At 43.9% G+C, this 25,701-nt stretch overlaps 1 pseudogene, besides 12 other annotated features; it reads right to left on the bottom strand.

Moving 5' to 3' along the window:
- Positions 971-1,472: an enhancer, noted in NCBI's record as "OCT4 hESC enhancer chrY:13464807-13465308 (GRCh37/hg19 assembly coordinates)". NCBI's record gives its function as "activates a minimal SCP1, AML or CMV promoter by ChIP-STARR-seq in naive and primed H9 embryonic stem cells {active_cell/tissue: H9 hESC(naive and primed)}" and the evidence as "EXISTENCE:reporter gene assay evidence [ECO:0000049][PMID:30033119]".
- Positions 2,412-3,685, bottom strand: DUX4L16 (double homeobox 4 like 16 (pseudogene); annotated as a pseudogene).
- Positions 4,634-5,134: an enhancer, noted in NCBI's record as "OCT4-NANOG-H3K27ac hESC enhancer chrY:13461145-13461645 (GRCh37/hg19 assembly coordinates)". NCBI's record gives its function as "activates a minimal SCP1, AML or CMV promoter by ChIP-STARR-seq in naive and primed H9 embryonic stem cells {active_cell/tissue: H9 hESC(naive and primed)}" and the evidence as "EXISTENCE:reporter gene assay evidence [ECO:0000049][PMID:30033119]".
- Positions 5,135-5,635: an enhancer, noted in NCBI's record as "OCT4-NANOG-H3K27ac hESC enhancer chrY:13460644-13461144 (GRCh37/hg19 assembly coordinates)". NCBI's record gives its function as "activates a minimal SCP1, AML or CMV promoter by ChIP-STARR-seq in naive and primed H9 embryonic stem cells {active_cell/tissue: H9 hESC(naive and primed)}" and the evidence as "EXISTENCE:reporter gene assay evidence [ECO:0000049][PMID:30033119]".
- Positions 6,461-7,134: an enhancer, noted in NCBI's record as "OCT4-NANOG-H3K27ac hESC enhancer chrY:13459145-13459818 (GRCh37/hg19 assembly coordinates)". NCBI's record gives its function as "activates a minimal SCP1, AML or CMV promoter by ChIP-STARR-seq in naive H9 embryonic stem cells {active_cell/tissue: H9 hESC(naive)}" and the evidence as "EXISTENCE:reporter gene assay evidence [ECO:0000049][PMID:30033119]".
- Positions 7,135-7,810: an enhancer, noted in NCBI's record as "OCT4-NANOG-H3K27ac hESC enhancer chrY:13458469-13459144 (GRCh37/hg19 assembly coordinates)". NCBI's record gives its function as "activates a minimal SCP1, AML or CMV promoter by ChIP-STARR-seq in naive and primed H9 embryonic stem cells {active_cell/tissue: H9 hESC(naive and primed)}" and the evidence as "EXISTENCE:reporter gene assay evidence [ECO:0000049][PMID:30033119]".
- Positions 7,811-8,484: an enhancer, noted in NCBI's record as "OCT4-NANOG-H3K27ac-H3K4me1 hESC enhancer chrY:13457795-13458468 (GRCh37/hg19 assembly coordinates)". NCBI's record gives its function as "activates a minimal SCP1, AML or CMV promoter by ChIP-STARR-seq in naive and primed H9 embryonic stem cells {active_cell/tissue: H9 hESC(naive and primed)}" and the evidence as "EXISTENCE:reporter gene assay evidence [ECO:0000049][PMID:30033119]".
- Positions 9,793-10,409: an enhancer, noted in NCBI's record as "OCT4-NANOG hESC enhancer chrY:13455870-13456486 (GRCh37/hg19 assembly coordinates)". NCBI's record gives its function as "activates a minimal SCP1, AML or CMV promoter by ChIP-STARR-seq in naive H9 embryonic stem cells {active_cell/tissue: H9 hESC(naive)}" and the evidence as "EXISTENCE:reporter gene assay evidence [ECO:0000049][PMID:30033119]".
- Positions 10,410-11,026: an enhancer, noted in NCBI's record as "OCT4-NANOG hESC enhancer chrY:13455253-13455869 (GRCh37/hg19 assembly coordinates)". NCBI's record gives its function as "activates a minimal SCP1, AML or CMV promoter by ChIP-STARR-seq in naive H9 embryonic stem cells {active_cell/tissue: H9 hESC(naive)}" and the evidence as "EXISTENCE:reporter gene assay evidence [ECO:0000049][PMID:30033119]".
- Positions 11,645-12,260: an enhancer, noted in NCBI's record as "OCT4-NANOG hESC enhancer chrY:13454019-13454634 (GRCh37/hg19 assembly coordinates)". NCBI's record gives its function as "activates a minimal SCP1, AML or CMV promoter by ChIP-STARR-seq in naive H9 embryonic stem cells {active_cell/tissue: H9 hESC(naive)}" and the evidence as "EXISTENCE:reporter gene assay evidence [ECO:0000049][PMID:30033119]".
- Positions 12,261-12,878: an enhancer, noted in NCBI's record as "OCT4-NANOG-H3K27ac-H3K4me1 hESC enhancer chrY:13453401-13454018 (GRCh37/hg19 assembly coordinates)". NCBI's record gives its function as "activates a minimal SCP1, AML or CMV promoter by ChIP-STARR-seq in naive and primed H9 embryonic stem cells {active_cell/tissue: H9 hESC(naive and primed)}" and the evidence as "EXISTENCE:reporter gene assay evidence [ECO:0000049][PMID:30033119]".
- Positions 12,879-13,495: an enhancer, noted in NCBI's record as "OCT4-NANOG-H3K27ac-H3K4me1 hESC enhancer chrY:13452784-13453400 (GRCh37/hg19 assembly coordinates)". NCBI's record gives its function as "activates a minimal SCP1, AML or CMV promoter by ChIP-STARR-seq in naive H9 embryonic stem cells {active_cell/tissue: H9 hESC(naive)}" and the evidence as "EXISTENCE:reporter gene assay evidence [ECO:0000049][PMID:30033119]".
- Positions 14,357-14,858: an enhancer, noted in NCBI's record as "NANOG hESC enhancer chrY:13451421-13451922 (GRCh37/hg19 assembly coordinates)". NCBI's record gives its function as "activates a minimal SCP1, AML or CMV promoter by ChIP-STARR-seq in naive H9 embryonic stem cells {active_cell/tissue: H9 hESC(naive)}" and the evidence as "EXISTENCE:reporter gene assay evidence [ECO:0000049][PMID:30033119]".

Here is a 25,701-nt window from a genome sequence, read left to right as displayed (position 1 = left end):
GATCTGCCTATGGGGGCATAGTTACATATCTCTGCACTGATCACTCATGGGATGTAAAGCTTGTCTAAGCTGCGCCTAAATGGGAATTGTGACAGATATCTCCACTGATCACCCAGGTGATGTAACAATTTTCTGCGATTTGTCTATGGGGGCATTGTGACATATATTTGCACTGATCACCCAGGAGATGTAACTTTTGTCTAGGCTCGGCCTACAGGGGCTTTGTGACATATTTCTGCACTGATCACCCAGGAGATGTAACACTTGTTTAGGCTCTGCCTACAGGTGCTCTGTGACATATGTCTGTACTGATCACCCAGGTGATGTAACTCTTGTCTAGGCTCCACCTACAGGGTGTATTGTGACGTATCTCTGCACTGATCAACCAGGTGATGTAACATTTTTCTAGGCTCTGCCTACAGGGGCGTTTTCACATAGCTCTGCACAGATCACATATGTTATGTAACTCTTATCCACTCTCTGCCTACAGGAGGCATTTTGAAATATCTCGGCACTGATCACCCAGGTGATAGGAATCTTCTCTATACTCTGCCTAGAGGGGGATTTGTGACATTTCTCTGCACTGATCACCCAGGTGATGGAAGTCTTGTCTAGGCTCTGTCTATGGGGGCATTGTGTCAAATAGCTGCAATGATCACCCAGGTGATGTAACTCTTGTCTAGGCTCTGTCTACAGGGATTTTTGTGACATACCACTACACTGATCTCCTAGGTGATGTAAGCCTTGTATGGGCTTTGCCTACAGAAGGCTTTCTGACATATCTAAGCACTGATCTCTGAGGTGATGCAACTCTTGTCTAGGCACTGCCTACTTGGGTCATTGGTACATATCTCTGCACTGATCACCCAGGTGATGGACTGTTGTCTTAGATCTGCCTACATGGACATTGTGACACATCTCTGAACTGATCAACCAAGTGATGAAACTCTTGTCTAAGCTCTGCCTACAGGGGTTTTGTGACACATCTCTGCACTGATCACCCTGGGGAGGGAACTCTTGTCTACTCTCTGCCTACAGGAGGCTGTATGACTTATACCTGCACTGATAACCTAGGTGATATTACACTTGTCTAGGCTCTGCCTACATGGGAATTCTCACATGTCTCTGCACTGACCACCTGGGTGATGTAACTCCTGTCTAGGTTCAGCCTACAGGAGCGTTTTGACATATCTCTGCACTGATCACCCAGGTGATGTAACCCTTGTCTAAGCTCTGCCTACAGGGGCATTGTGACAGATCTCTCCACTGCTCACCCAGGTGATGTAACAATTGTCTGGGCTTTGCCTACAGGAGGCTTTGTGATATATATTTCCACTGATCAAACAGGTGATGTAACCCATGTCAAGGTTCTGCTTATAGGGGCTTTGTGACATATCTCTGCGCTGATCACCCGAGGGAGGAAACATTTTTCTACACTCTGCTTACAGGAGGATTTATGACTTATCTCTACACTGATCACCTAAGTGATGTAACCCTTGTCTAAGTTCAGCCTACTGGGGATTTCTGACATACCTATGCACTGATCACCGAGGTGATGTAAATCATTTCCAGGCTTCTTGTACAGGGGACATTGTGATATATCTCTGCACTGATCACGCAAATGATGCAAATCTTCTCTAGGCTCCACAGGGAGGGGACATTGTGCCATATTTCTGAACTGCTCATCCAGGATATGTAACTATTCTCCAGGCTTTGACTAACGAGCGTCGGAAGGTGTTGGGAGAGCCTCAACAGGAATTTCAGGGACAGAAAAGGGCACAGAGAGGCCAGCGGGCTCCCTTGCACGTCAGCCGGAGTGCGCAATGAGCGCAGGTCTAGCCAGGAGGCCGGCAAGGAGAGCTAGAGGTCTGTGTTCCACCGCCAAGTGCTCCATGGTGGCAGCTGGGATGCTGCAGGGTACCGGCGGCTGGGCGACGGTGGCGCAGAGGCCCAGAGGATGCGAGCTGCCAGAGGGGTGTCAGGCCTGGAGCTGTGCGGGCCGGTGTTTCGTGGGATGGGGATTTCCACCCATCCCAGGGGAGGATGCACTTTCCGGGGCTGGTGGGTGGGGGTGGGGAGGCGTTGGTCAGGCGGGGTTGTGGGGGTGGAAAGGCATGAGAGCTCTTCCCGGGCTGCTCCCACAGCCCACGTGGCTGCCCGCTAACCGGCGCGTGCACAGTCTGTGGCCCACCTGCTGGTACCTGGGCCGGCTCTGGGATCCCCGGGATGCCCAGGAAAGAATGGCAGATCTCCGCTGTGTGGAGTCTCTCACCGGGCCTATACCTAGAAGGCAGGAATCCCAGGCCGGTCAGCCCAGTGGAGGGGGGGGAAGACACACCCCTCCATAGCCAGCCAGGTTTTCCCCGCGAAAGAGAGGCCACCACCCTGCCCCGACCCGACCCCGTCCCAATCCCGCGTGCTAAAGCTCCTCCAGCAGAAAACGGTATACTTCCTCGCTGAGGGGTGCTTCCAGTGAGGCGGCCTCTTCCAAGGCCTCCATCTCCCCCGGGCCTCCGTTTCTAGGAAAGGTTGCGCCTGCTGCAGAAACTCCGGGCTCACCAGGAGCTCATCCAGCAGCAGGCCGGAGGGGAGTGCAGACGAGCGCCCAGGCTACTGGAGTGCCTGGGAGGGCACCGGGATGGCTTGCTACTGCCCCTGCAGCGTGGAGGCATCCGGGGGCACGGGCTGGCGAGGTGGAGCGGCCCGGCTTGTGGTTCCCACGCCGCATCGGGGACCTGGGGTCCCTGGCCCCAGCCCCACCACAGACTCCCCTGGGACGCGGGTGGCGCAAGCACTCCTTAGCCCTGTGGCCCCGCTTGAGCCGGCCCAGGCTGTCCCACCAGGCAAGGGCCCAGCAGGCCGTGGCGCTGCGGGTCACAGCCCTCCCGGCTTTTGCCTGGGTGCGGAGGCCACCGAGGCGCCTGAGGGTGAGAGAGAGCCCCTTCCAGAGGAGCCGGGGAGGCGTAGGCAAAATCCCCGCATGCCGGGGCAGGTTGGGAGATCCCCTCTGCTGGCGCGGCCTGGCTGGGCTGGAGCACGGGGATGGCTCTCGATCCCTGGCTCATGAAAGCCCCTTGTGGGAGAGCCCCAGGCGTACAGGGCACGTGGGGTGCGGGAAGCCCTGTTCCCCACGTGCCGGTGTGGGCGAAGGCGACCCACGAGGGAGCAGGGTGATACCCGTGGGGGGCCGCGTTGCACAGGCCGCCGGCCTATGCAGGCGCCCTGCCAGCATATCCCGGGTGCCTGGCCCTTCGATTCTGAAACCAGGTCTGAATCCTGGACTCTGGGAGACCCGTCTCTCTGGCCAGCTCTTCCCTGGCGGCGATGCCTGGAATGCGATCCTTCTCAATGGCTCAGAGGAGAAGGGCCGTCTGGGATCCGGTGACGCAGTCTGCTTTCGCCTGCCTTCTTGCGGGCCGCATCTCCTGGGCCAGGACCGAGATTCCCGCCCGTGCTGCCTCAGGTGGCTTGACCTCTCATTCTGAAACAAAATCTGCAACCTGGGCTCCGGAATGCCGATGGCCTGGGCCAGCCGTTTTCTGGTGGCGATGCCCGGGTATGGGTTCCGCTCAAAGCTGGCTCGCAGGGCCTCACTTTGGCTCCGGGTCCAAACGAGTCTCCTTCGCCGTCCCCGTCCCCGGGCTTCTGCAGGGAGGGTGCTGTCCGAAGGTGTCGGGTGGGACATCGCGGGGAGCCCCGGCCGAAATTTCGCGGACGGACATGGGCAGAGAGGCCAGCGGGCTCCCGTGCACCACAGCCGTCCTGTGCACTGCGGCAGGTGCAGCCAGGAGGCGTGCCCGGACAGCCAGCCAGCGACTCTTATAAAGGCCCTCAGGTAGGCAGGTTCCAGAACTTCATGAATGGCCGTGAGCCCTGGGACAGCACGCCCCACCCCGGAAGGGTCCCAGGGCGTCGAGGCCTGAGGCCGGGGGATGGTGGAGTGTGGGGGGTGGGCGTGGTGATGGCGGTGGTGGGGCCAGAGACACGAAGATGAAGGGGGCGAGGGGGTAGGGGTGAGGGGGGCACGATTCGGGGGCTGGCTCTCCGGACCACTCCAGGAATCCCGCGGGAACTGGAAGCTGCTCTCTGGGTTCCCATGCGTCTTCAGCAGGGAGAAACCGGCTTGGGAGGGTGGAGGGGAGTGTGGAACTGAACCTCCGTTGGAGTCTGGAGTGTTCCAAGCCCTCTCTCAGTGAAGGAGGCAGTGCCTGTGGGTGTCGCTGTTGCCAGGACAGTCTCACACACGCAGGCGTGTGGCTCTCGTTCATTTCCAAGTAGGAGACAAGAGCGAGAACCCAGAGAGAAGATGCCACCCCGGCGTGATGACCAGACGATGGATTCCCGTGTGCCGCAACATGGGGAGTCTGCAGTGTGGCCGGTTTGGAAACTGGCAAGGAGAGCGAGGGCACCATGCCAGACTTCCACCCTTCCCTGCATGTTTCTGGGTGCCCGCAGAGCTCCGGGAGGAAACAGTCAGCAGGACACATCTCTGAACTGATCAACAAAGTGATGTAACTCTTGTCTACGCTCTGCCTACAGGGGCTTTGTGACATAACTCTGCACTGATCAGCCAGGTGATGGGACTTTTGTCTACGCTCTGCCTATGGGGGCATTGTGACATATCTCTACGCAGATCACCCAGGTGATGTAACTCTTGTGTAGGATCTGCCTATGGGGGCATTTTGACATATTTCTGCACTGATCACCCAAGTGATGGGACTCTTCTCTAGGCTCTGTGTATGGGGGCTTTGTGACATATCTCTGCATTGATCACTCAGGTGATGGGACGCTTGTCTAGGCTTTGTGAATGGGGGCTTTGTGACATATGTCTGCACTGATCACCGAGGTGATGGAACGCTTGACTAGGCTCTGCCTACGGGGCATAGTGACATATCACTGCATTGATCACCGAGGAGATGTAACTCTTGTCTAGGCTCTGCCTAAAGTGGGCTTGTGACATATCTCTGCACTGATCACCCAGGTGATATAACTCTTCTCTAGGATCTGCCTACTGGGTGCTTTGTGACATATCCCTGCAATGATCACCCAGGTGATATACCACTTGTCAAGGCCCTGCCTACAGGGGCATTGCGATGTATCTCTGCACTGATCACCTAGGTCATGTAAATCTTTTCTAGGCTCTACCTATAGTGGCATTGTGACATATCTCTGCACTGATCACCCAGGTGATGTAACTCTTTTCTAGGATCTGCCTACAGGGTGCTTTGTGACATATCCCTGCAATGATCACCCAGGTGATGTACCACTTGTCAAGGCTCTGCCTACAGGGACATTGCGATGTATCTCTGCACTGATCACCGAGGTCATGTAACTCTAGTCTAGGCTCTGCCTACTGTAGCATAGTGACATATCTCTGCACTGATCATCCAAGTGATGTAACCTTTCTCTAGGATCTGCCTAAAGGGAATTTGTGACATAACTCTGCACTGATCATCCAGGTGATGGGGCTTTTATCTAGGCTCTGCCTAAGGGGGCATTGTGACATATTTCTGCACTGATCACCCAGGTGAAGGACTCTTGTCTTCGATCGGCCTATAGGGGCATTGTGACATATTTCTGCACTGATCACCCAGGTGATGGGACTCTTGTCTAGGCTCTGTGTATGGGGACTTTGTGACATATCTCTGCAGTAATCACCCAGGTGATGTAACGCTTGACTAGGCTCTGCCTACGGGGCATAGTGACATATCACTGCATTGATCACTGAGGTGATGTAACTCTTGTCCGACTCTGCGTATAGGGGGCCTTGTGACATATCTCTGCACTGATCATCTAGGTGATGTAACTCTTGCTTACACTCTGCCTGCAGGGGCATTGTGAAATATCTCTGCACTGATCACGCAGGTGATTGGACTCTTCTGTAGGCTCCGCCTCCTGAGGGCATTGTCACATATTTCTGCAATGATCACCCAGGTGACGAACGCTTGTCTTGGATTTGCCTATGGGGACATTGTGACATATCTCTGCAATGATCATCCAGGTGATGTAACTCTGGTCTAAGCTCTGCCTAAAGGGGCCTTGTGACAGATCTCTGCAGTGATCACTCAGGTGATGTAACTATTGTCGAGGGTCTGCTTAAAGGGGCCTTGTCACATATCTCTGCCCTGATCACCCAGATGATGTAACTCTTGTCTAGGCTCTGCTTACAGGGGGCAATGTGACATATCTCTGCAGTGATCACCTAAGTGATGTAACAGTTGTGTAGGTTGTGCCTACAGGGGCATTTAGACATATCTCTGCAATGTTAACCGAGGTGATGTAACACTAATCTATGCTATGCCCACAGGGGTATTGAGACATATCTCTGCACTGATCCCAAGGAGATCCAAATATTGTCTGGTCTCTGCCTACTGGGGACATTGTGACATATCTCTACAATGATCTCCCAGGTGATGTAACTATACTGTACGCCATGGCTAAATGGCATTGTGACATATCACTGCACTGATCACCCAGGTTTTATACAGGGATATCCGTGGACATATACAGAAAGGAATGGAATGGAATGGAATGGAATGGAATGGAATGGAATCAACCCGACTGGAACGGAATGGAATGCAAAGGAAAGAAATGGAACGGAATGGAATGGAATGGAACGGAATGGAATGGAATGAGATAGAATCAACCCGACTGGAATGGAATGGAATGCAATGGAAAGAAATGGAACGCAATGGAATGGAATCGAATGGAATGGAATGGAATGGAATGGAATGGAATGGAATGGAATGGAATGGAATGGAACGGAACGGAATGGAATGGGAAGGAATCAACCCGAGTGGAATGGAATAGAAAGGAATCGAATGGAATCAACACGAGGGGAATGGAATGGAATGGCATGGAATGGAATGGAATAATCCGAGTGTAATGGAATGCAAAGGAATGGAATCAACAGGAATGGAATGGAATATAATGGAATGGAATGGAATGGAATGGAATGCAATGGAATGGAATGGAGTGCAGTGGAGTGGAATGGAATGGAATGGAATGGAATGGAATGGAATGGAATGGAACGGAATGGAATGGAATAGAATGGAATTGAGTCAGTTGGAATGCAACGGAATAGAATGGAACGGAATGGAATGCAATGGATTGGAATGGAATGGAATGGAATGGAATGGAATGGAATGGAATGGAATGGAATCAACCCGACTGGAACGGAATGGAATGCAATGGAAAGAAATGGAATGTAATGGAATGGAATGGAATGGAATGGAATGGAATGGAACGGAACGGAATGGAACGGGATAGAATCAACCCGACTGGAATGGAATGGAATGCAATGGAAAGAAATGGAACACAATGGAATGGAATGGAATGGAATGGAACGGAATGGAATGGAATGGGAAGGAATAAATCCGAGTGGAATGGAATAGAAAGGAATCGAATGGAATCAACACGAGGGGAATGGAATGGAATGGAATGGCATGGAATGGAAAGGAATCAATCCGAGTGTAATGGAATGCAATGGAATGGAATCAACAGGAATGGAATGGAATATAATGGAATGGAATGGAATGGAATGGAATGGAATGGAATGGAATGGAGTGGAATGGAGTGGAGTGGAGTGGAGTGGAGTGGAATGGAATGGAATGGAATGGAATGGAATGGAATGGAATGGAACAGAATGGAATGGAATGGAATAAACCGGAATTTACTGGAATGAAATGGAATGGAAGGGAAGGGAATGTAATGGAATGGAATGGAATCGGATGGCATCAACAAGACTGGAATGGAATGTTATGGAATGGAATAGAAAGGAACGGAATGAAATGTAATGTAATGGAATGGAATGGAATGGAATGGAATGGAATGGAATCATTCCGAGTGGAATGGAATGGAAGGGAATGGAATGGAATGGAATGGAAAGGAATGGAATGGAATGGAATGGAATGGAATCAAAACTAGGGGAATGAAACGGAATGGAAAGGAAGGGAAGGGAATGCAATGGAATGGAATGGAAACTAATGGAGATGAATGGAATGGAAAAAAATCAACAAGAGAGGAATGAAATGGAAAGGAAGGGAATGGAAAGGAATGGAATTGAAAGGAATGGAATCAACCACAGTGGAATTGAATGGAATGGAATGGAATGGAACGGAATGGAATGGAATGGAATGGAATAAACCGGAATTTACTGGAATGGAATGGAATGGAATGGAATGGAATGGAATGGAATGGAATGCAATGGAATGGAATTGAAAGGAATGGAATTAACCACAGTGGAATGGAATGGAATGGAATGGAATGGAACGGAACGGAACGGAACGGAACGGAACGGAACGGAGTGGAGTGGAGTGGAGTGGAGTGGAATTGAATTGAATGGAATGGAATGGAATGGAATGGAATGGAATGGAATAAACCGGAATTTACTAGAATGGAATGGAATGGAAGGGAATGTAATGTAATGTAATGGAATTGGATGGCATCAACAAGAGTGGAATGGAATGGAAAGGAATGGAATGGAATGGAATCAATCCGAGTGGAATGGAATGGAATGGAATGGAATGGAATGGAATGGAATGGAATGGAATGGAATGGAATCAACACTAGTGGAATGGAGTGGAATGGATTGGAATGGATTGGAATGGAATGGATTGGAATGGAGTGGAATCAACCGAGAGGAATGGAATGGAATGGAATTTAATGTAATGGAATGTAATGAAATGGAATAGAGTAAACCCGAGTGGAAAAGAAAGGAATGGAATGGAATGGAATGGAATGGAATAGAATGGAATGGAATGGAATCGGATGGCATCAAACCAATTGGCATAGAATGGTATGGAATGGAATGGAATGCAATGGAATGGAATGGAATGGAATGAAATGGAATGGAATCGAAAGGAATGGAAACAATTCGAGTGGAATGGAATGGAATGGAATGGAATGGAATGGAATGGAATGGAATGGAATAGAATGTAATGGAATCAAAACGAGGGGAATAGAATGGAATCAAATCGAAAGGAATGAAACGGAATCAACCCGCGTGCAATGGAATGGAATGGAATGGAATGGAATTTAATTGAGATGAATTCTATGGAATGAAATAAACCCGAGAGGAATGGAATTGAACGGAATGGAAGGGAATGGAATGGAATGGAATCAACACGATTTGAATGGAATGGAATGGAAAGGAAAAGAATGGAATGGAATGGAATGTATTGAACCCGAGTGGAATTGAATGGAATGGAAAGGAATGGAATGGAATGGAATCAACCGGAGTGGAATGGTATGGAATAGAATGGAATTAAATGGAATGGCATTAAATGGAACGGAATCAACAGGAATGGCATGGAATGGATGAGAGTGGAGTGGAGTGAAATGGAATGGAATGGAAAGCAATGATATAGAATGTAATTGAATCAAACTATGTGGAATGGAAGGCAATGGAATGGAATGGAATGGAATGGAATGGAATGGAATAGAATGGAATGGAATGTAATAGAGTCAATCCGAGTGGAAAGGAATAAAATGGAATGCAATGGAATGGAACGGAATGGAATGGAAACAACCCGAGGGGAATTGAATGGAATGGAAGGGAATGTAATCAACCCAAGGGGAATGGAAAGGACGGGAATGGAATGGAATTGAATGGAATCAACCCAAGTGGAATGGAATGGAATGGAATAGAATGGAATGGAATGGAATGGAATGGAATGGAATCAACAGGAGTGGAATGCAACAGAATGTAATGAAATGGAATGGAAAGGAATAGAATGCAATGGAATGGAATCAACCCGAGTGGAATTGAATGTCATGGAATTGAATGAACTGACAAGGAATGGAAAGGAGAGGAATGGAATCAACTGAGTGGAATGGAATGGAATGGAATGGAATGCAGTGGAGTGGAATGGTATGAAATGGAATGGAATGGAATCAACCGAGTGGAAGGGAATGGAATGGAAAGGGATGGAATGGGATGGAATGGAATGGAATGGAATGGAATGGAATGGAATGGAATGGAATAGAACGGATTTGAATCAACCCGAGTGGAATGGAAGTGAAAGGAATGGAATGGAATGGAATGCAATGCAATGGAATAGAATGGAATTGAATCAACCCGAGGATTTTGGAATGGAATGGAATGGATTGGGGTGGAATGCAATGGAGTAGCATGGAATTGAATCAACCCGAGGGTTATGGAATGGAAGGGAATGGAATGGAATGGATAGGAATGGAATAGAATGGAATGGAATGGAATGGAATGGAATGGAATGGAATGGAATGGAATGGAATGGAATCAACACGAATGTAATGAAATGTAATGGAATGGAATGGAATAGAATGGACTTGAATCAACTTGAGTGGAGTGGAATGGAATGGAATGGAATGGAATGGAATGGAATGGAATGGAATGGAATGAAATTGAATGGAATAGAATGGTATTGACTCAAACCCAGTGGAATGGAATGGAATGGAATGGAATGGAATGGAATGGAATGGAATGGAACGGAATGGAATGGAATAGAATGGACTTGAATCAACTTGAGTGGAATGGAATGGAATGGAATGGAATGGAATGGAATGGAATGGAATGGAATAGAGTGGAATTGAATCAACCAGAGTGGAATGGATTGGAACGGAATGGAATGGAATGGAATGCCATGGAATGTAATGGAATTGAATCAACCCGAGTGGAGTAGAATGGAATGGAATGGAGTGGAATGGAATGGAATGGAATGGAATGGAATGGAATGGAATAGAGTGGAATTGAATCAACCAGAGTGGAATGGATTGGAACGGAATGGAATGGAATGGAATGCCATGGAATGTAATGGAATTGAATCAACCCGAGTGGAGTAGAATGGAATGGAATGGAGTGGAATGGAATGGAATGGAATGGAACGGAATGGAATGGAGTGGAATGGAACGGAATGGAACGGAATGGAATGGAAAAGAATGGAATTGAATCATCCCCAGTGAATGGAAGGGATTGGAATAGAATGGAATGGAAGGGAATAAAATGGAATGAAATGCAATTTAATGGAATTAAATCAACACGAGTGGAATGGAATGGAATGGAATGGAAAGGAATGAAATGGAATAGAATAGAATTGAAACAACCTGAGTGAAATGGAATGGAATGCAACAGAGTGGAGTGGAATGGAATGGAATGGAATGGAATGGAATGGAATGGAAAGGAAACAAACAGGGTGGAATGGAATGGAATGGAATGGAATGGAATGGAATGGAATGGAATGCAATGGAATGGAATGGAATGGAATACAATGGAAGTGAATCTACCCGAGTGGAGTGGAATGGAACGCAATGGAATGCAAAGGAATGGAATGCAATTTAATGGAATTCAATGACATGGAAAAGAAAGGAATTGAATCAACAAGTGGAGTGGAATGGAATGGAATGGAATGGAATAGAATAGAATGGAATGGAATGGAATGGAATGGAATGGAATGGAATAGAATGGAATAGAATGGAATGGAATGGAATGGAGTAGAATGGAATGGAATAGAGTGCAATTTATTCAACAAGAGTGGAATGGAATGGAATGGAAAGAAATGGAATATAATGGAATATAATGGAAAGGAATGGAATGGAATTTCATAGAATAGAATTGAATAAACCAGAGTGGAAAGGAATGGAATGGAATGGAATTGAACAGAATGGAATGGAAAGAAATAGAAAGGAATTGAATGAAACCGAGTGGAATGGAATGGAACGGAACGGAATGGAATGGAAAGGAATGGAATGGAATGGAATGGAATCAACCCGAGTGTAATCGCATGAAATTGAATGGAAGGGAAAGGAATGGAATAGAGTGGAATTCAATCACACCGATTGGAATGGAATGCAATGGAATGGAATAGAGTGGAATTGAATCAACCACAGTGGAATGGAATGGAATGGAATGGAATGGACTCTACTTGAATGAACGGGAGGGGAATGGAATGCAATGGAATGGAATTGAACGGAATAGAATAGAATGGAAAAGAATTTAATTGAATCACCTCGAGCGGAATGGAATGGAATGGAATGGAATGGAATGGAATGGAATGGAATGGAATGGAATGGAATGGAAAGGAAAGGAATGGAATGGAATGGATTGCCATGGAATGGAATGGATTTGAATCAACACAAGTGGAATAGAATGGAATGGAATAGAATGGAATGGAATGGAATGCTATGGAAAGGAATGGAAAGGAAAAAGAGTAGAATGGAATGGAATAGAATGGAATGGAATGGAATGGAAAGGAATGTAATGCAATGCAATGGAATGCAATGGAATTGAATCTACCCGAGTGGAGTGGAATGGAATGCAATGGAGTGGAATGCAATTTAATGGAATTCAATGGAATGGAAAAGAATGGAATTGAATCAACAAGTGGAGTGGAATGGAATGGAATGGATTGGAATGGAATGGAATGGAATGGAATGGAATGGAATGGAATGGAATGGAATGGAGTGGAATGGAATGGAATAGAATGGAATTGAATCAACAATAGTGGTATGGATTGGAATGGAAGGAAATGGAATATAATGGAATGGAATGGAATGGAATTTCATAGAATGGAATTGAATAAACCAGAGTGGAAAGGAATGGAATGGAATGGAATGGAATAGAATGGAATGGAATGGAATGGAATGGAATGGAATGGAATGGAATGGAATGGAATGGAATGGAATTAAAAGGAATAGAATGGAATTGAATCACTCCGAGTGGAAAGGAATGGAATGGAATTGAATTGAACAGAATTGAATGGAACAAATGGAAAGGAATTGAATGAAACCGAGTGGAATGGAATGGAATGGAATGGAATGGAATGGAATGGAATGGAATGGAATGGAATACAATGGAATTGAATCAACCCGAGTGGAATGGCATGAAATAGAATGGATAGGAAAGGAATGGAATCAACCCGAGTGGAATGGAATGGAATGGAATGGAATGGAATGGAATGGAATGGAATGGAATGGAATGGAATGCAATGGAAAGGAAAGGAATGGAATGAAATGGAATCAAACTGAATGGAATGGAATGGAATGGAATGGAATGGAATGGAATGGAATGGAATGGATTGGAATAGAATGGAATTGAGTGAACCCGAGTGGAATGGAATGGAATGGAATGGAATGGAATGGAATGGAATGGAATGGAATGGAATGGAATGGAATGGAATGAAATGGAATGGAATGGAAGAGAGTGGAATTGAATCAACCACATTGGAATGGAATGGAATGGAAAGGAATGGAATGGAATAGACTCTAATTGAATGAATGGGAGGGGAATGCAATGCAATGGAATGGAATTGAATGCAATAGAATAGAATGCAATAGAATGCAATTGAATCAACCTGAGCGGAATGGAATGGAATGGAATGGAATGGAATGGAATGGAATGGAATGGAATGGAATGGAATGGAATGGAATGCAATGGAATGGAATGGAATGAAAAGGAGGAGTGGAGTGGAGTGGAATTCAGTGGAATGTAGTGCAGTGGAATGGAATGGAATGAATTGGAATGGAGATGAGTGGAGTTGAAAGAAGTGGAGTGGAATGGAGTGGAATGGAGTGCAGAGGAGTGGAGAGTAGTGGAGAGGAGTGCAATGGATTGCAGTGGAATGGAATGGCATAAAGTGGGGTGGAATTTAGTGGAATGGAGTGGAATGGTCTGGACTGGAATGGAATGGAATGGAGTGGAGTGGAATGGAATGGAGTGGAGTGGAGTGGAATGCAGTGGTGTGGAGTGGAATGCAGTGGCGTGGAGTGGAATAGAGTGAAGAGGAGTGGATGGACTCAAGTGGAATGAAATGGAGTGGAGTGGAGTGGAATTGAATGGAGTGGAGTGGAGTGGAATGGATTCGAATGGAATCGGATGCAAAGGAATGTAGTGGCAAGGAGTGTATTTGAATGGAATGGAATGGAATGGAATGGAATGGAATGGAATGGAATGGAATGGAATGGAATGGAATCGGTGGTGAGATCGTGTCACTGTGCTACAGACTGTGTGACAGAGGGAGATCCTCTGGAAAGAAAGGAGTGGACTGGGATGGAGTGGAGTGGATTGCAGTGGAGTGGAGTGGAGTGAAATGGAGTGGAACGGATTGGTGTGGAATGGAATGGAGTTGAGTGGAGTGGACTGGAATGGAGTGGATGGGGGTGGAATGGAGTGCAGTGGAATGGAATCAAGTGGAATGGAATGGGGTGGAGTGTGGTGGAATGGAATGGAGTGGAGTGGAGCTTAATGTTATGGCGTAGAGTGGAATGGATTGGAATGGACTGGAGTGGAATGGATTGGAGTGGATTGGAGAGCAGTGGAGTGGTGTGGAGTGGAATGGAATGGAACGGAGTGGCATGCAGTGGAGTGGAAGGGAGTGGAGTGGACTGGAGTGGATTTGAGGTGAATGAAATGGAATGGAATGGAATGGACTGGAATGGGTGATGAGATTGTGCCACTGCATAAAAACCTGTGGGACAGAGGGAGATCCTGTCAAAAGAAAGAATTGTAATCGGAAGCAGTGGAGTGGATTGGAGTTGAGTGAAACGGAGTGGAATGGAGTGGAGTGGAGTGGAATGGACTGGAGTGGAGTGGAGTTGAATGGAATGTGGTGGAGTGGAATGAAGTAGAGTGGAATGGAGTGGAATGGAATGTGATGGAATGGAATGGAATGGATTATGGTGTAGTGGAGTTGATTGGAGAGGAGTAGAGTGGATTGTAGTGGAATTAAATGGGATGGAATGGAATGCCATCGAGTGGAGTGGAGTGGACTGGAGTGGCGGAGAGTGGAATAGAGTCGAGTGGAATAGAATGGAGCAGAATAGAATGGAATGGAATGCAATGGAATGGAATGCAAAGGAATGGAATGCAATGGAATAGAATGGAATGGAATGGTGAAATGAAATGTGAGCTGAATTTGTGCCACTGCACGCCAGCCTGGGTGACAGAGTGAGATGCTGTTGAAAGAAAGAAATGGAATGGAATGGATTGGAGTGGAGTGGTGTGGAGTGGAGTGGTGTGGAGTGGAATGGAATGGGATGGACTGTAATGGAATGGAGTGCTGTGGAATGGAGTGGCAGAGAGTGGAATGGAGTCGAGTGGAATGGAATGGAATGAAAGGAGTGGAGTGGAGTGCAGTGGAATAGAGTGGAATGGAATGGAATGGATTAGCGAAATGAAATGTAAGCTGAGATTATGCCACTGTATTCCAGAATGGGTAACAGAGTGACATAGTGTGGAATGTAAGGAATGGAATGGATTGGAGTGGAATGGATTGGAATGTAGTGGAGTGGATAGGAGTGAAGTGGAATGGAATGGAGTGGAGAGGAATGGAATGGAAGGGAGTGGATAGGAGTGGATGGGAGTGGAGTAGAATGGAATGGAATGGGATGGAATCGAATGGAATGAAATGGAGGGGAGTGGAGTGGTATGGAATTGGATGGAATTGAATGTAGTGGAGTGGAGAGGAGTGGAGTAGAGTGGAGTGGAACGGAATGAAATTGAATGAAGTGGAGCCAAGTGGAGTGGAGTGGAATGGAATATAGTGGAATGGAAATGAATAGAATGGAAAGGAATGTAACGGAATAGAATGGAATGATGAAATGAAATATGAGTTGAGATTGTAACACTACACTCCAGCCAGTGTGACAGAGTGAAATATTGTCAAAAGAAAGGAATGGAATGGACAGGTGTGGAATGGAATGGAATGGAATGGAGCGGAGTGGAGTGCATTATATTGGAATGGAGTGGAATGGAATGGGATGGAATGGGATGGAGTGGAGTGAAGTGGAGTGGAGTGGAGTGTAATGGAACGGTATGGTATGGTAAGGAATGGAATGGAATGGAATGGAATGGAATGGAATGGAATGGAATGGAATAGAATGGAATGGAATGGAGTGGAGTGGAGTTGAGTGGAGTTCGCAGGAGTGGAATGAAATGGGATGGAATAGAATTGAATGCATTGCAATGGAATGGAATGCAATGGAATTAAATGCAATGGAATGCAATGGAATGGAATGGAATGCAATGGAATGGAATGGTGAATTGAAATGTGAGCTGAGATACTGCCACTGCACTCCAGCCTGGGTGACAGAGTGAGATCCTCTCGAAAGAGAGGAATGGAATGCAATGGAGTGGAATGGAATGGAATGGAATGGAATGGAATGGAATGGAATAGAATGGGATGGGATGGGGTGGAGTGGAGTGGAGTGGAGTGGAGTGGAGTGGAATAGAATGGAATGGAATGGAATGGGATGGAGTGGAAGGAATGGAGTGGAGGGGAGTGGAGTGGACGGGAGTGGAGTGGAGAGAAATGGAGTGAAATGGAATGGGATGGAATGGAATGGAATGGGGGAGGGGAGGGGAGTGGAGTGGAATTGAGTGTAGTGGGATGGAATGGAATGGAAAGGAAAGAAAAAATGGAATGGTGAAATGAAATGTGAGCTGAGATTTTGCCCCTGTATTCCAGCCATTTTTGACACAGTGATATCCCATCGAAAGAAGGGAATGGAATGGAATGGGGTGGAATGGAATAGAATGGAATAGAATGGGGTTGAATGGAATGGAATGGAATGGAATGGAATGGAATGGAATGGAATGGAATGGAATGGAGAAATTAAATGTGAGCTAAGATTGTGCCACTGCACTCCAGTCTGGGTGACAGAGAGAGATCCATTTTGAAATAAAGGAATGGAATGGAATGTAGTAGAATGGAATGACTGGAGTGGCGTGGAGTGGAGTGGAGTGGCGTGGAGTGGAGTTGAGTGGAGTGGAGTGGAATGGAATTTAGGGGAGTGGAATGGAATGGAATGGTGACATGAAATGTGAGCTGGGATTTTGTAATTGCACTCCATTTTGGGTGACAGAGTGAGATCCTGTTGAAAGAAAATATTGGAATGGAATGGAGTGTAGTGGAATGGAAAAGAATGGAGTGGAGTGGAGTGGAATGGAATGGAAGGGAATGGAATGGAATGGAAGGGAAAGGAAGGGAATGCAATGGAAGGGAAGGGAATGGGGAAATGAAATGTGAGCTGACATTGTGGCACTGCACTCCAGCCTGGGTGACCGAGTGAGATCCTGTCGAAAGAAAATATTGGAATGGAATGGATTTCAATGTAACGGAATAGAGTAAAGTGGAGTGGAACGGAATGTGATGGAATGAAATGTAGTGGAGTGGAGTAGAGTGGAACGGAATGGAGTGGAGTGGAGTGGAATGGAGTGGAGTGCAGTGGAGTGAAGTGCAGTGGAACTCATTGGAATGGAATGCAGTGGAATGGAATGAAAAGGAATTTAACAGGTGCTGAGATTGTGCTACTGCACTACAGCCTGTGTGACAGAGGTAGATCCTGTCGAAAGATAGTCGTGCAATGGGTTGGAGCAGAGTGGAGTGGAGTGGAATGGAGTGGAGTGGACTGGAGTGGAGTGGAATGGAATGAAGTGGACTGGAATGGACTGTAGTGGAATGGAATGGAGTGGAATGGAATGGAATGCAGTGGAGTGGAGTGGAACGGAGTGGAGTGGTGTGGAGTAGAGTGGAATGGGGTGGAGAGGAGTGGAGTGGAGTGGAGTGGAATGGAGTGGAATGGAATGGAGTGGAGTGGAGTGGAGAGGAATGGAATGGAATGGAATGGAATGGAATGGAATGGAATGGAATGGAATGGAATGGAATGGAATGCAATTAAGTGGAGTGGAGCAAAGTGGAGAGGAGTGGAAAGGAATGGAATGGAATAGAGTGGAGTGGATTTCAGTGAAGTGGAGAAAAGTGCAATGTAGTGGAATGGAATCAGATGTAATAGAATGTAGTACACTGGAGTGGAGTGAAGTGGAACGAACTGGAATGGAACGGAATGGAACGGAACGGAACGGAATGGGTGCTGAGATTGTGCCACTGCACTACAGCCTGCGTGACAGAGAGAGATACTGTAGAAAGAAAGGAGTGGAATGGGATAGGGGGGAGTGGAGTTTAGTGGAGTGGAATGGACTGGAATGGAGTGGAGTGGAGTGGAATGGAATGCAGTGGAGTGGAATGGAGTGGAGTGGAATGGAGTAGAGTGGAGTGGAGTGGAATTCGGTGGAGTGGAGTGGAGTAGAATGGAATGCAATGGAATGGAATGGAATGGAGTCGACTGGATTGGTGTGGACTGGAATGAAGTGGATTGAAATAGAAAGGAGCGGAACGGAATGGGATGGAATGGAATGGAATGAAGTGGAGTGGAGTGGGGTGGAGTGGAGAGCAGTGGAATTGAGCGGAATGGAATGGGATGGAGTGGATGGAGTGGAATGGAGTGGAGCGCAGTAGAGTGAATAGGAGTGGAATGGAGTGGAATGGAATCGAATGTAGTGGAATGCAGTGGAGTGGAGTAGAACGGAGTGGGATGGAATGGAATTGAATTAAATGGAATGGAATTGAACGGAATGCAATGGAATAGTATGCAATGCAATGGAAAGTTGACATGTAATGTGAGCTGAGATTGTGCCACTGTACTCCAGCCTCGGTGACACAGTGATATCCTGTCAAAAGAAAGGAATGGAATGCAATGGAGTGAAATGGAATGGAATGGAAGGGAATGGAATGCAGGGGAGTGGTGTGGAGTGGAGTTGAATGGAATGTTATGGTATGGAATGGAATGGAATGGAATGCAGTGGAGTGGAGTGGAGTGGAGCTCGCAGGAGTGGAACGGAATGGGATGGAATGGAATTGAATGCATTGCAATGGAATGGAATACAATGGAATGCAATGGAATGGAATGGAACGGAGAGGAGAGGAATGGAGTGGAATGTAGTGTAATCGGAAAAGATGGAATGGAATGGAATGCCATGGAATGGAATGTAATCGTGAAATGAAATGATAGCTGAGATTATGACACTGCACTCCATCCTGGGTGACAGAGTGAGATCCTGTCGACAGAAAGGAATAGAATGGAATGATATGGAATGGAATGGAGTAGAATTCAGTGGAGTGGAGTGGAGTGGAGTGGAGTGGAGTGGAGTGGAATGCAATGTAGTGGAATGGGATGGGATGGAGTGGAATGGAATGGAGTGGAGTGAAATTGAGTGGAATGGAATGGGATGGGATGGAATGTAGCGGAGTGGAGTTGAGTGGATTGGAATCGAATGGAATGGAGTGCAGTGGAGTGGAGAGGAATGGAGTAGAATGGAATGGAATGGAATGGAATGGAATGGAATGGAATGGAATGGAATAGAAAGTAATAGAATGGTGAAATGAAATGTGAGCTGAGATTGTGCCACTGCACTCCATCCTGGGTTACAGGTGAGATTCTATCGAAAGAAAGGAATGGAATGGATTAGAGTGGAATGGAATTGAGTGGGGTGGAGTGGAGTTGAGTGTAGTGGAGTAGAGTGGAATAAAGAGGATTGGAATCGGATGTAATGGAAAGGAATGCAGTAGAGTGGAGTAGAGTGGAATGGAGTGGTGTGGAGTGGAATGGAATGGAATGGAATGGAATGGAATGGAATGGAATGGAATGGAATGGAATGGAATGGCACGGTGACATGAAATGTGGGCTGAGATTGTGCCACTTCACTACAGCCTGGTGACAGAGTGAGTTCCTGACGAAATAAAAGAATGGAATAGAATGGATTGGAATGAAATGGAATGGAATGGAATGGAATGGAGTGTAGTGGACTGGAGTAAAGTGGAATGGAGTGGAGTAGAGTGGAAGGGAGTGGAATGAAATGAGATGGAATGGAATGGAATGGAATGGAATGGAATGGAATGGAATGGAATGGAATGGAATGGAATGGAATGGAATGGAATGGAGTGGAGTGGAGTGCAAAAATCCCCAATAAAATACTAGCAAACCAAATCCAGCAGCAAATCAAAAAGCTTATCCACCATGATCAAATGGGCTGCATCCCTGGGATGCAAGGCTGGTACAACATATGCAAATCAATAAATGTAATCCATCATATAAACAGAACCAACGTCAAAAACCACGATTATCTCAATAGATGCAGCAAAGCCCTTTGACAAAATTCAACAACCTTCATGCTAAAAACTCTCAATTAATTAGATATTGATGGGATGTATCTCGAAATATTAAGAGCTATTTATGACAAACCCACAGCCAATATCATACTGAATGGGCAAAACCTGGAAGCATTCCCTTTGAAAATCTCAGTTACCTTTCTTTTGGATATGTGTGTGAGGAAAGAGTACCTACAAACTACCCTTTCAGTTAAATGCCATATACAATAAATATTAATACTTACAGTCCTCATGTTGTACATTAGATACCTCAATTTATTAATTCTACATATCTGCAACTTTGCATCCTTCGAATTCTCTATCTCCATTTTCTCTTCTCACCCCCAGCCCCTGGTAACCACTGTTTTATACTCTATCTCTGTGTATTTAACTTTTTGTTGTTTTTGTCCTGAGAAGTTTGTTGGGACTTTCAGCTAGGAGGTAATATGTTCTGAGTCTTGATTATCTCAAATTATAGCAGGTAAGAAGTTTTACTTGTCTGGAGAGCAGAGTGCAAGTGCATAATTTTATGCAGAAGAGGGAATAAAGAGAATTCTCTAATTAAAATTTGAATCAGAAATATGGCTCACATTTTTATGTACAACAATCTCTAAGGCTTCTTGGAAAGGAACTAGCTGCCTGATTTTTTTTTCATTTGAATCCACTAATACATGAAGAGGATGATCCTACCATACCAATCACAAGAATGATATCTGTAGAATCAAAAGTTGAAATCCTATTATCCTAGAACTTTTTTCAGAAAACTTGAACATGTATTGAAATGTCATGCTGGTCATATATTTTATAGCAATGAGGAATTTACTTATTATATACTTTAGCTTTTTAGCCCTTTCTGTGCCCACCAGAAATGTTTCTTTTGAATTCAATTTGGTCCTCAGAGTTTTAGAATGTTAAGGAATGTATAGGGGTTTCTTTTTTCTTCTTTTTTTTTTTTTTTGTCAAGCTATTGTATATTTTTACTTTACCTGTTTGGGTATGTAGTTACTATTTGTTTGGACTGTCATACCAGAAAAAAATTATAGTGAATTTTACATGTACAGAGTCTTCATTGATCTGTATAAACTGACAAGTTTAGAATATCAAAGTCAACACTGTAAAAAATAAAGTGATATTTTATCTGGTCTATCTCCTTGCAAATACAAGAACAATAAATTCTGTACTATTATGAAATATAAGAGCTTGAAAATTATTCAAGTGCCTTGTATAGAATGGCCTTTGAATTCAAGGTATAAACTACAACAAAACACTTTCGAGATCTAGTTTGATTGAAGAGTGCATTCTTACATATTGATATATTCTCTGCAATTTCTGATTCAAGGTAGTCCACAATTCTAAAGGAAAACCAAAATAGAATAATAATTATAAAACAAAATAAAAAGTAATTGAGGAAGATAATTGAGCAACTTATTCTTGACAACTAGCTTTTTAACAAACAGAAAAGTGCACTAAAAATACTGCCTAGTTGTTTAAAGTAGGCTGAGATCTGACTGTATCCCCTAAGTGAGTGTCATAAAGAAAAAATTACCTTTGAGGGAGCACAGTGGTTAAATTTAAAAGATTTATTGTTTAACCTCAGGAAGGCTTTCAGTAACTTTTTATAAATTGTATACAGTTAATGGAAGACACGCTATGCTTCTTGTAAGAATTTGTTCCAGATCACTGTGTATAATTAATGGCTTGTCTACATATTTTTTCAATAAAACTGTTCATGAAGAATTTGAAGTATGCACTTTCAGTACCAGAATGAATATATCTTTGTGAAGATACCATTTATGTACCATAACATCCAAAGCACAATGAGGAGATTTTGATACTCTGCAGATTTAGAACTAACTTGGAAAACAAAACTTCAACATACTGTCTTGTCAGCACAAAGCAAATAAATTCATCATTGTCAGTTGAGATTTAAATTCACAAACTTATAAGCAATAAAATCAAAGTAATTTTATTATAAGTTTTTTGACACCAGATTATGTGGGGTAAATAATTTACGTTCTAATCAAGCAATTGATATATATAAACCTGAAATAGAGAGTTTTGCCTTTTAATTAGATACATTGTTACGCAAAGAATGGTTGAAGCTGCAGTTGAGAATTATCTTTTTCTTTTTGCTGTTCTTACAAGGACTGTTTCTAGAATTGTTTTCAAAACAATAGAACAGAAAATTTCACTTACTCACTTAATTTAACTTTTGTTAAAGTACTTTGCCAAAATTAGCAAATTATGAAAGGAAAGTTTGCCTTTTCAATATATATGTAAGTGGCAAGTAAAAGTTATTCTTAAATCACGTGATCTCATAGAAATAACATGGGATAAAAAGAGTTCTGAAGGTGTTCAGGAAATGTCAGTCCTGAATGGATTGCTTTGGTGTACTGATTACATCGAACTGAAAATATTTGAAAAATAACAACTGCGGGACATGCTTTCTCTGCACTCTCTTTACGTTCCTCAAGAGAGATCCTCCAAAAGGAACTTTCAATACCAGAATGAATGCATCTTTGTAAAGATACCATTTATCTACCATAACATCCAAAGCATGATGAGGAGATTTTTATACACTGCAGATTTAGAACTGAATTGGAAAACAAAGCTTCAAGATACTGTCTTGTCAGCACAAAGACATTCATCTCCTTCCTAGGAGTTTCATCAGCCAGGGAAAATTGACTCCTCATATCACAGGAGACAAGACTAAGAGTCCATTCCACACCAAGACAGACTGCCACAAACTATCATCTATTCTCCTAGGGGTCTGGTCATCTTTCCCAAAAATCATTTGCTCTCCCCTAAGTTTCCTACATTCTTCCTCCTGCCTTCCTTATAAGCTCCTAAATCTCACTGGGGTTTTTTCTTGGTGGTGTTTTGTTTGTTTTGTTTTGTTTTGTTTTTGATTCCACTTTTCTTTCCATGATTCCCCCATGAGTGTAATAAATGTGTACACATTTTCTTCTTTTGACATGCTTGTTATCCATTTATTCAATAGACTCTGTTATCATACCCTCAGAGGGTAGAGGGAAAGGTCTCCAAGTCCTACAGTTCCAAAAGAAAATAGCTAGTAACTGCACATGCAAAAGTCATATAAACTTTGAGACAAAGTTAGCTTCTTATACTCTAGGTTCAGAAAGAAGAGGTGTGTTGCACACCAAGAGACATTTCCCTGGTCTTAGCTACTAAGTTTCTCTGAGAAGAAGTAGTTACTACTACAGCAGTTAAACACCTGACTCCCATATTATAAAAGCCTAAGTGTTGAGATTAAATCATTAGTTGTTACCTGTGAATCATAAAGTCTGAACTCTTTAAATTGCAAACACACATAGAAAAGTGATTCTTACACAGGGATCCATGAGTGGAACTGCAAAGTTTTGTCAAAATCTATATATATGTTTTCTTTTTAAGGGTCATATATTTCAATATATGTTAAAAGATATCTGGAGCTAGTAAAGATTAATAACCATTTTCAGTTTTGTGCTGAAATTGGCAAATCATGGCTTTTCTCCCTCCAACACACCCCCTCCCGCCTCAGCACACCACTGGTTAATCTTTATTTTCAGGAGACAAAAAGATGTTTCATATGAATAAAGGTAAATTATACACTTGTTTGTTTTACACTTTTCCACCTCTTAAGCCTAACTGTGTTTTATTAATGTATAATTGAATACATTAACTTTTAGATGTTAGTAAACTAATAACAAATGTTCATTATTTCTCTTGAGTAGAGGAATACAAATTTTGCACCTGTTGTTGTATAAAATGATTTTTAAAATCTCATTCAATCCCTCAGAAGTTTAAGGTTTTTTTCAAGAATTTATATATAAAATTTTTACTCAGAAGCAGATAGCTCTCAAAATGTATGGGATTTTTTTGGATTATAAATAAACTATTCCACTCACCAATATGCTGAGACATCCTACTTTCTGGTATTTTGAAATAAAAACAAAACAAAAGAATGTGACGATGAAGCAAGTGAAAATTAAAAGGGTACAGACTTTAGAAGTATCATAAGCTAAAAATAAAATGAAACAAATCTGTAAAGGAACCAAAAGCCCAGGCAGATATAATACAGTAAATTATGAGAAGCTAAAAAAATGAGGAGGTGATAAACAATAAAGTGAAAATCTCTCATAAAGCCAAAACTACTTGAATGGCAGTCAACAAAACAGAAGAAAAAAAATGACACTCATAACAAGGCAGAACTATGGAAATGCATCCCTGGGGGTAAGATAATAGAGTTGCGAATTAGTGGAGGTGGATCACCAATACTGGCAAAATAATGCCCACTAACATAATTCAAAGGACAGAGAAATTCTGTAGCTGAAGATAAAAAGTCTGAAATATATTATGGTATAGTCAAATGAGTGTCATTTCTAATAGACACACTTATTTTTCAAGAGTTGATAATATGAAGTAAAAATTTAGTATGCGAAGTTCAAATTTTCCATTTGTTGAGTAATTCATTTTTATTAAATATTTTCCAATAATTAAACTAAAGTGGTACCAGAACAGAGTAGACAATCTGAGCTTTCACTTATAAAAGCTACACATAAATATACTTACTTCTTAAGGGTATAAAAAAGGCAGAGCCTGTGTGATATTTCAATAAACAATTGGAGAAATTTTTTTTAAGAATAGATTATATACATATTGACCTCTTTGAGAACCTTTTTTTTTTTCTTTTTGTGTGTGTGTGTGGACATATGTTTTCATTTCTTTTTATTATTATTATTATACTTTAAGTTTTAGGGTACATGTGCACAACGTGCAGGTTCGTTGCATATGTATACATGTGCCATGTTGGTGTGCTGCACCCATTAACTCGTCATTTACATTAGGTATATCTCCTAATGCTATCCCTCTCCCCTCCCCCCCCCCACAACGGTTCCCAGTGTGTGATGTTCCCCTTCCTGTGTCCATGTGTTCTCATTGTTCAATTCCCACCTGTGAGTGAGAACATGCGGTGTTTGGCTTTTCGTCTTTGCGATAGTTTACTGAGAATGATGGTTTCCAGCTTCATCCATGTCCCTACAAAGGATATAAACTCATTATTTTTATGGCTGCATAGTATTCCATGGTGTATATGTGCCACATTTTCTTAACCCAGTCTCTCATTGTTGGACATTGGGGTTGGTTCCAAGTCTTTGCTATTGATACTAGTGCCACAATAAACATATGTGTGCATGTGTCTTTAGAGCAGCATGATTTATAAACCTTTGGGTACATACCCAGTAATGGGATGGCTGGGTCAAATGGTATTTCTAGTTCTAGATCCCTGAGGAATCACCACACTGACTTCCACAATGGTTGAAATAGTTTACAGTCCCACCAACAGTGTAAAAGTGTTCCTATTTCTCCACATCCTCCCCAGCACCTGTTGTTTCCTGACTTTTTAATGATTGCCATTCTAACTGGTGTGAGATGGTATTTCACTGTGGTTTTGATTTGCTTTTCTCTGATGGGCAGTGATAGCATTTTTTCATGTGTTTTTTGGCTGTATAAATGTCTTCTTTTGAGAAGTGTCTGTCCATATCCTTCGCCCACTTTTTGATGGGGTTGTTTTTTTCTTGTAAATTTGTTTGAGTTCATTGTAGATTCTGGATATTAGCCCTTTGTCAGATGAGTAGGTTGTGAAATTTTTCTCCCATTCTGTAGGTTGCCTGTTCACTCTGATGGTGGTTTCTTCTGCTGTGCAGAGGCTCTTTAGTTTAATTAGACCCCATTTGTCAATTTT

The sequence above is a fragment of the Homo sapiens genome, chromosome Y (genome assembly GCF_000001405.40).
Source record: "Homo sapiens chromosome Y, GRCh38.p14 Primary Assembly".
Classification (NCBI taxonomy): Eukaryota; Metazoa; Chordata; class Mammalia; order Primates; family Hominidae; genus Homo; species Homo sapiens.
Note: the sequence above shows the minus strand (reverse complement) of the source record. Positions and strands in the feature narration are given on the sequence as shown.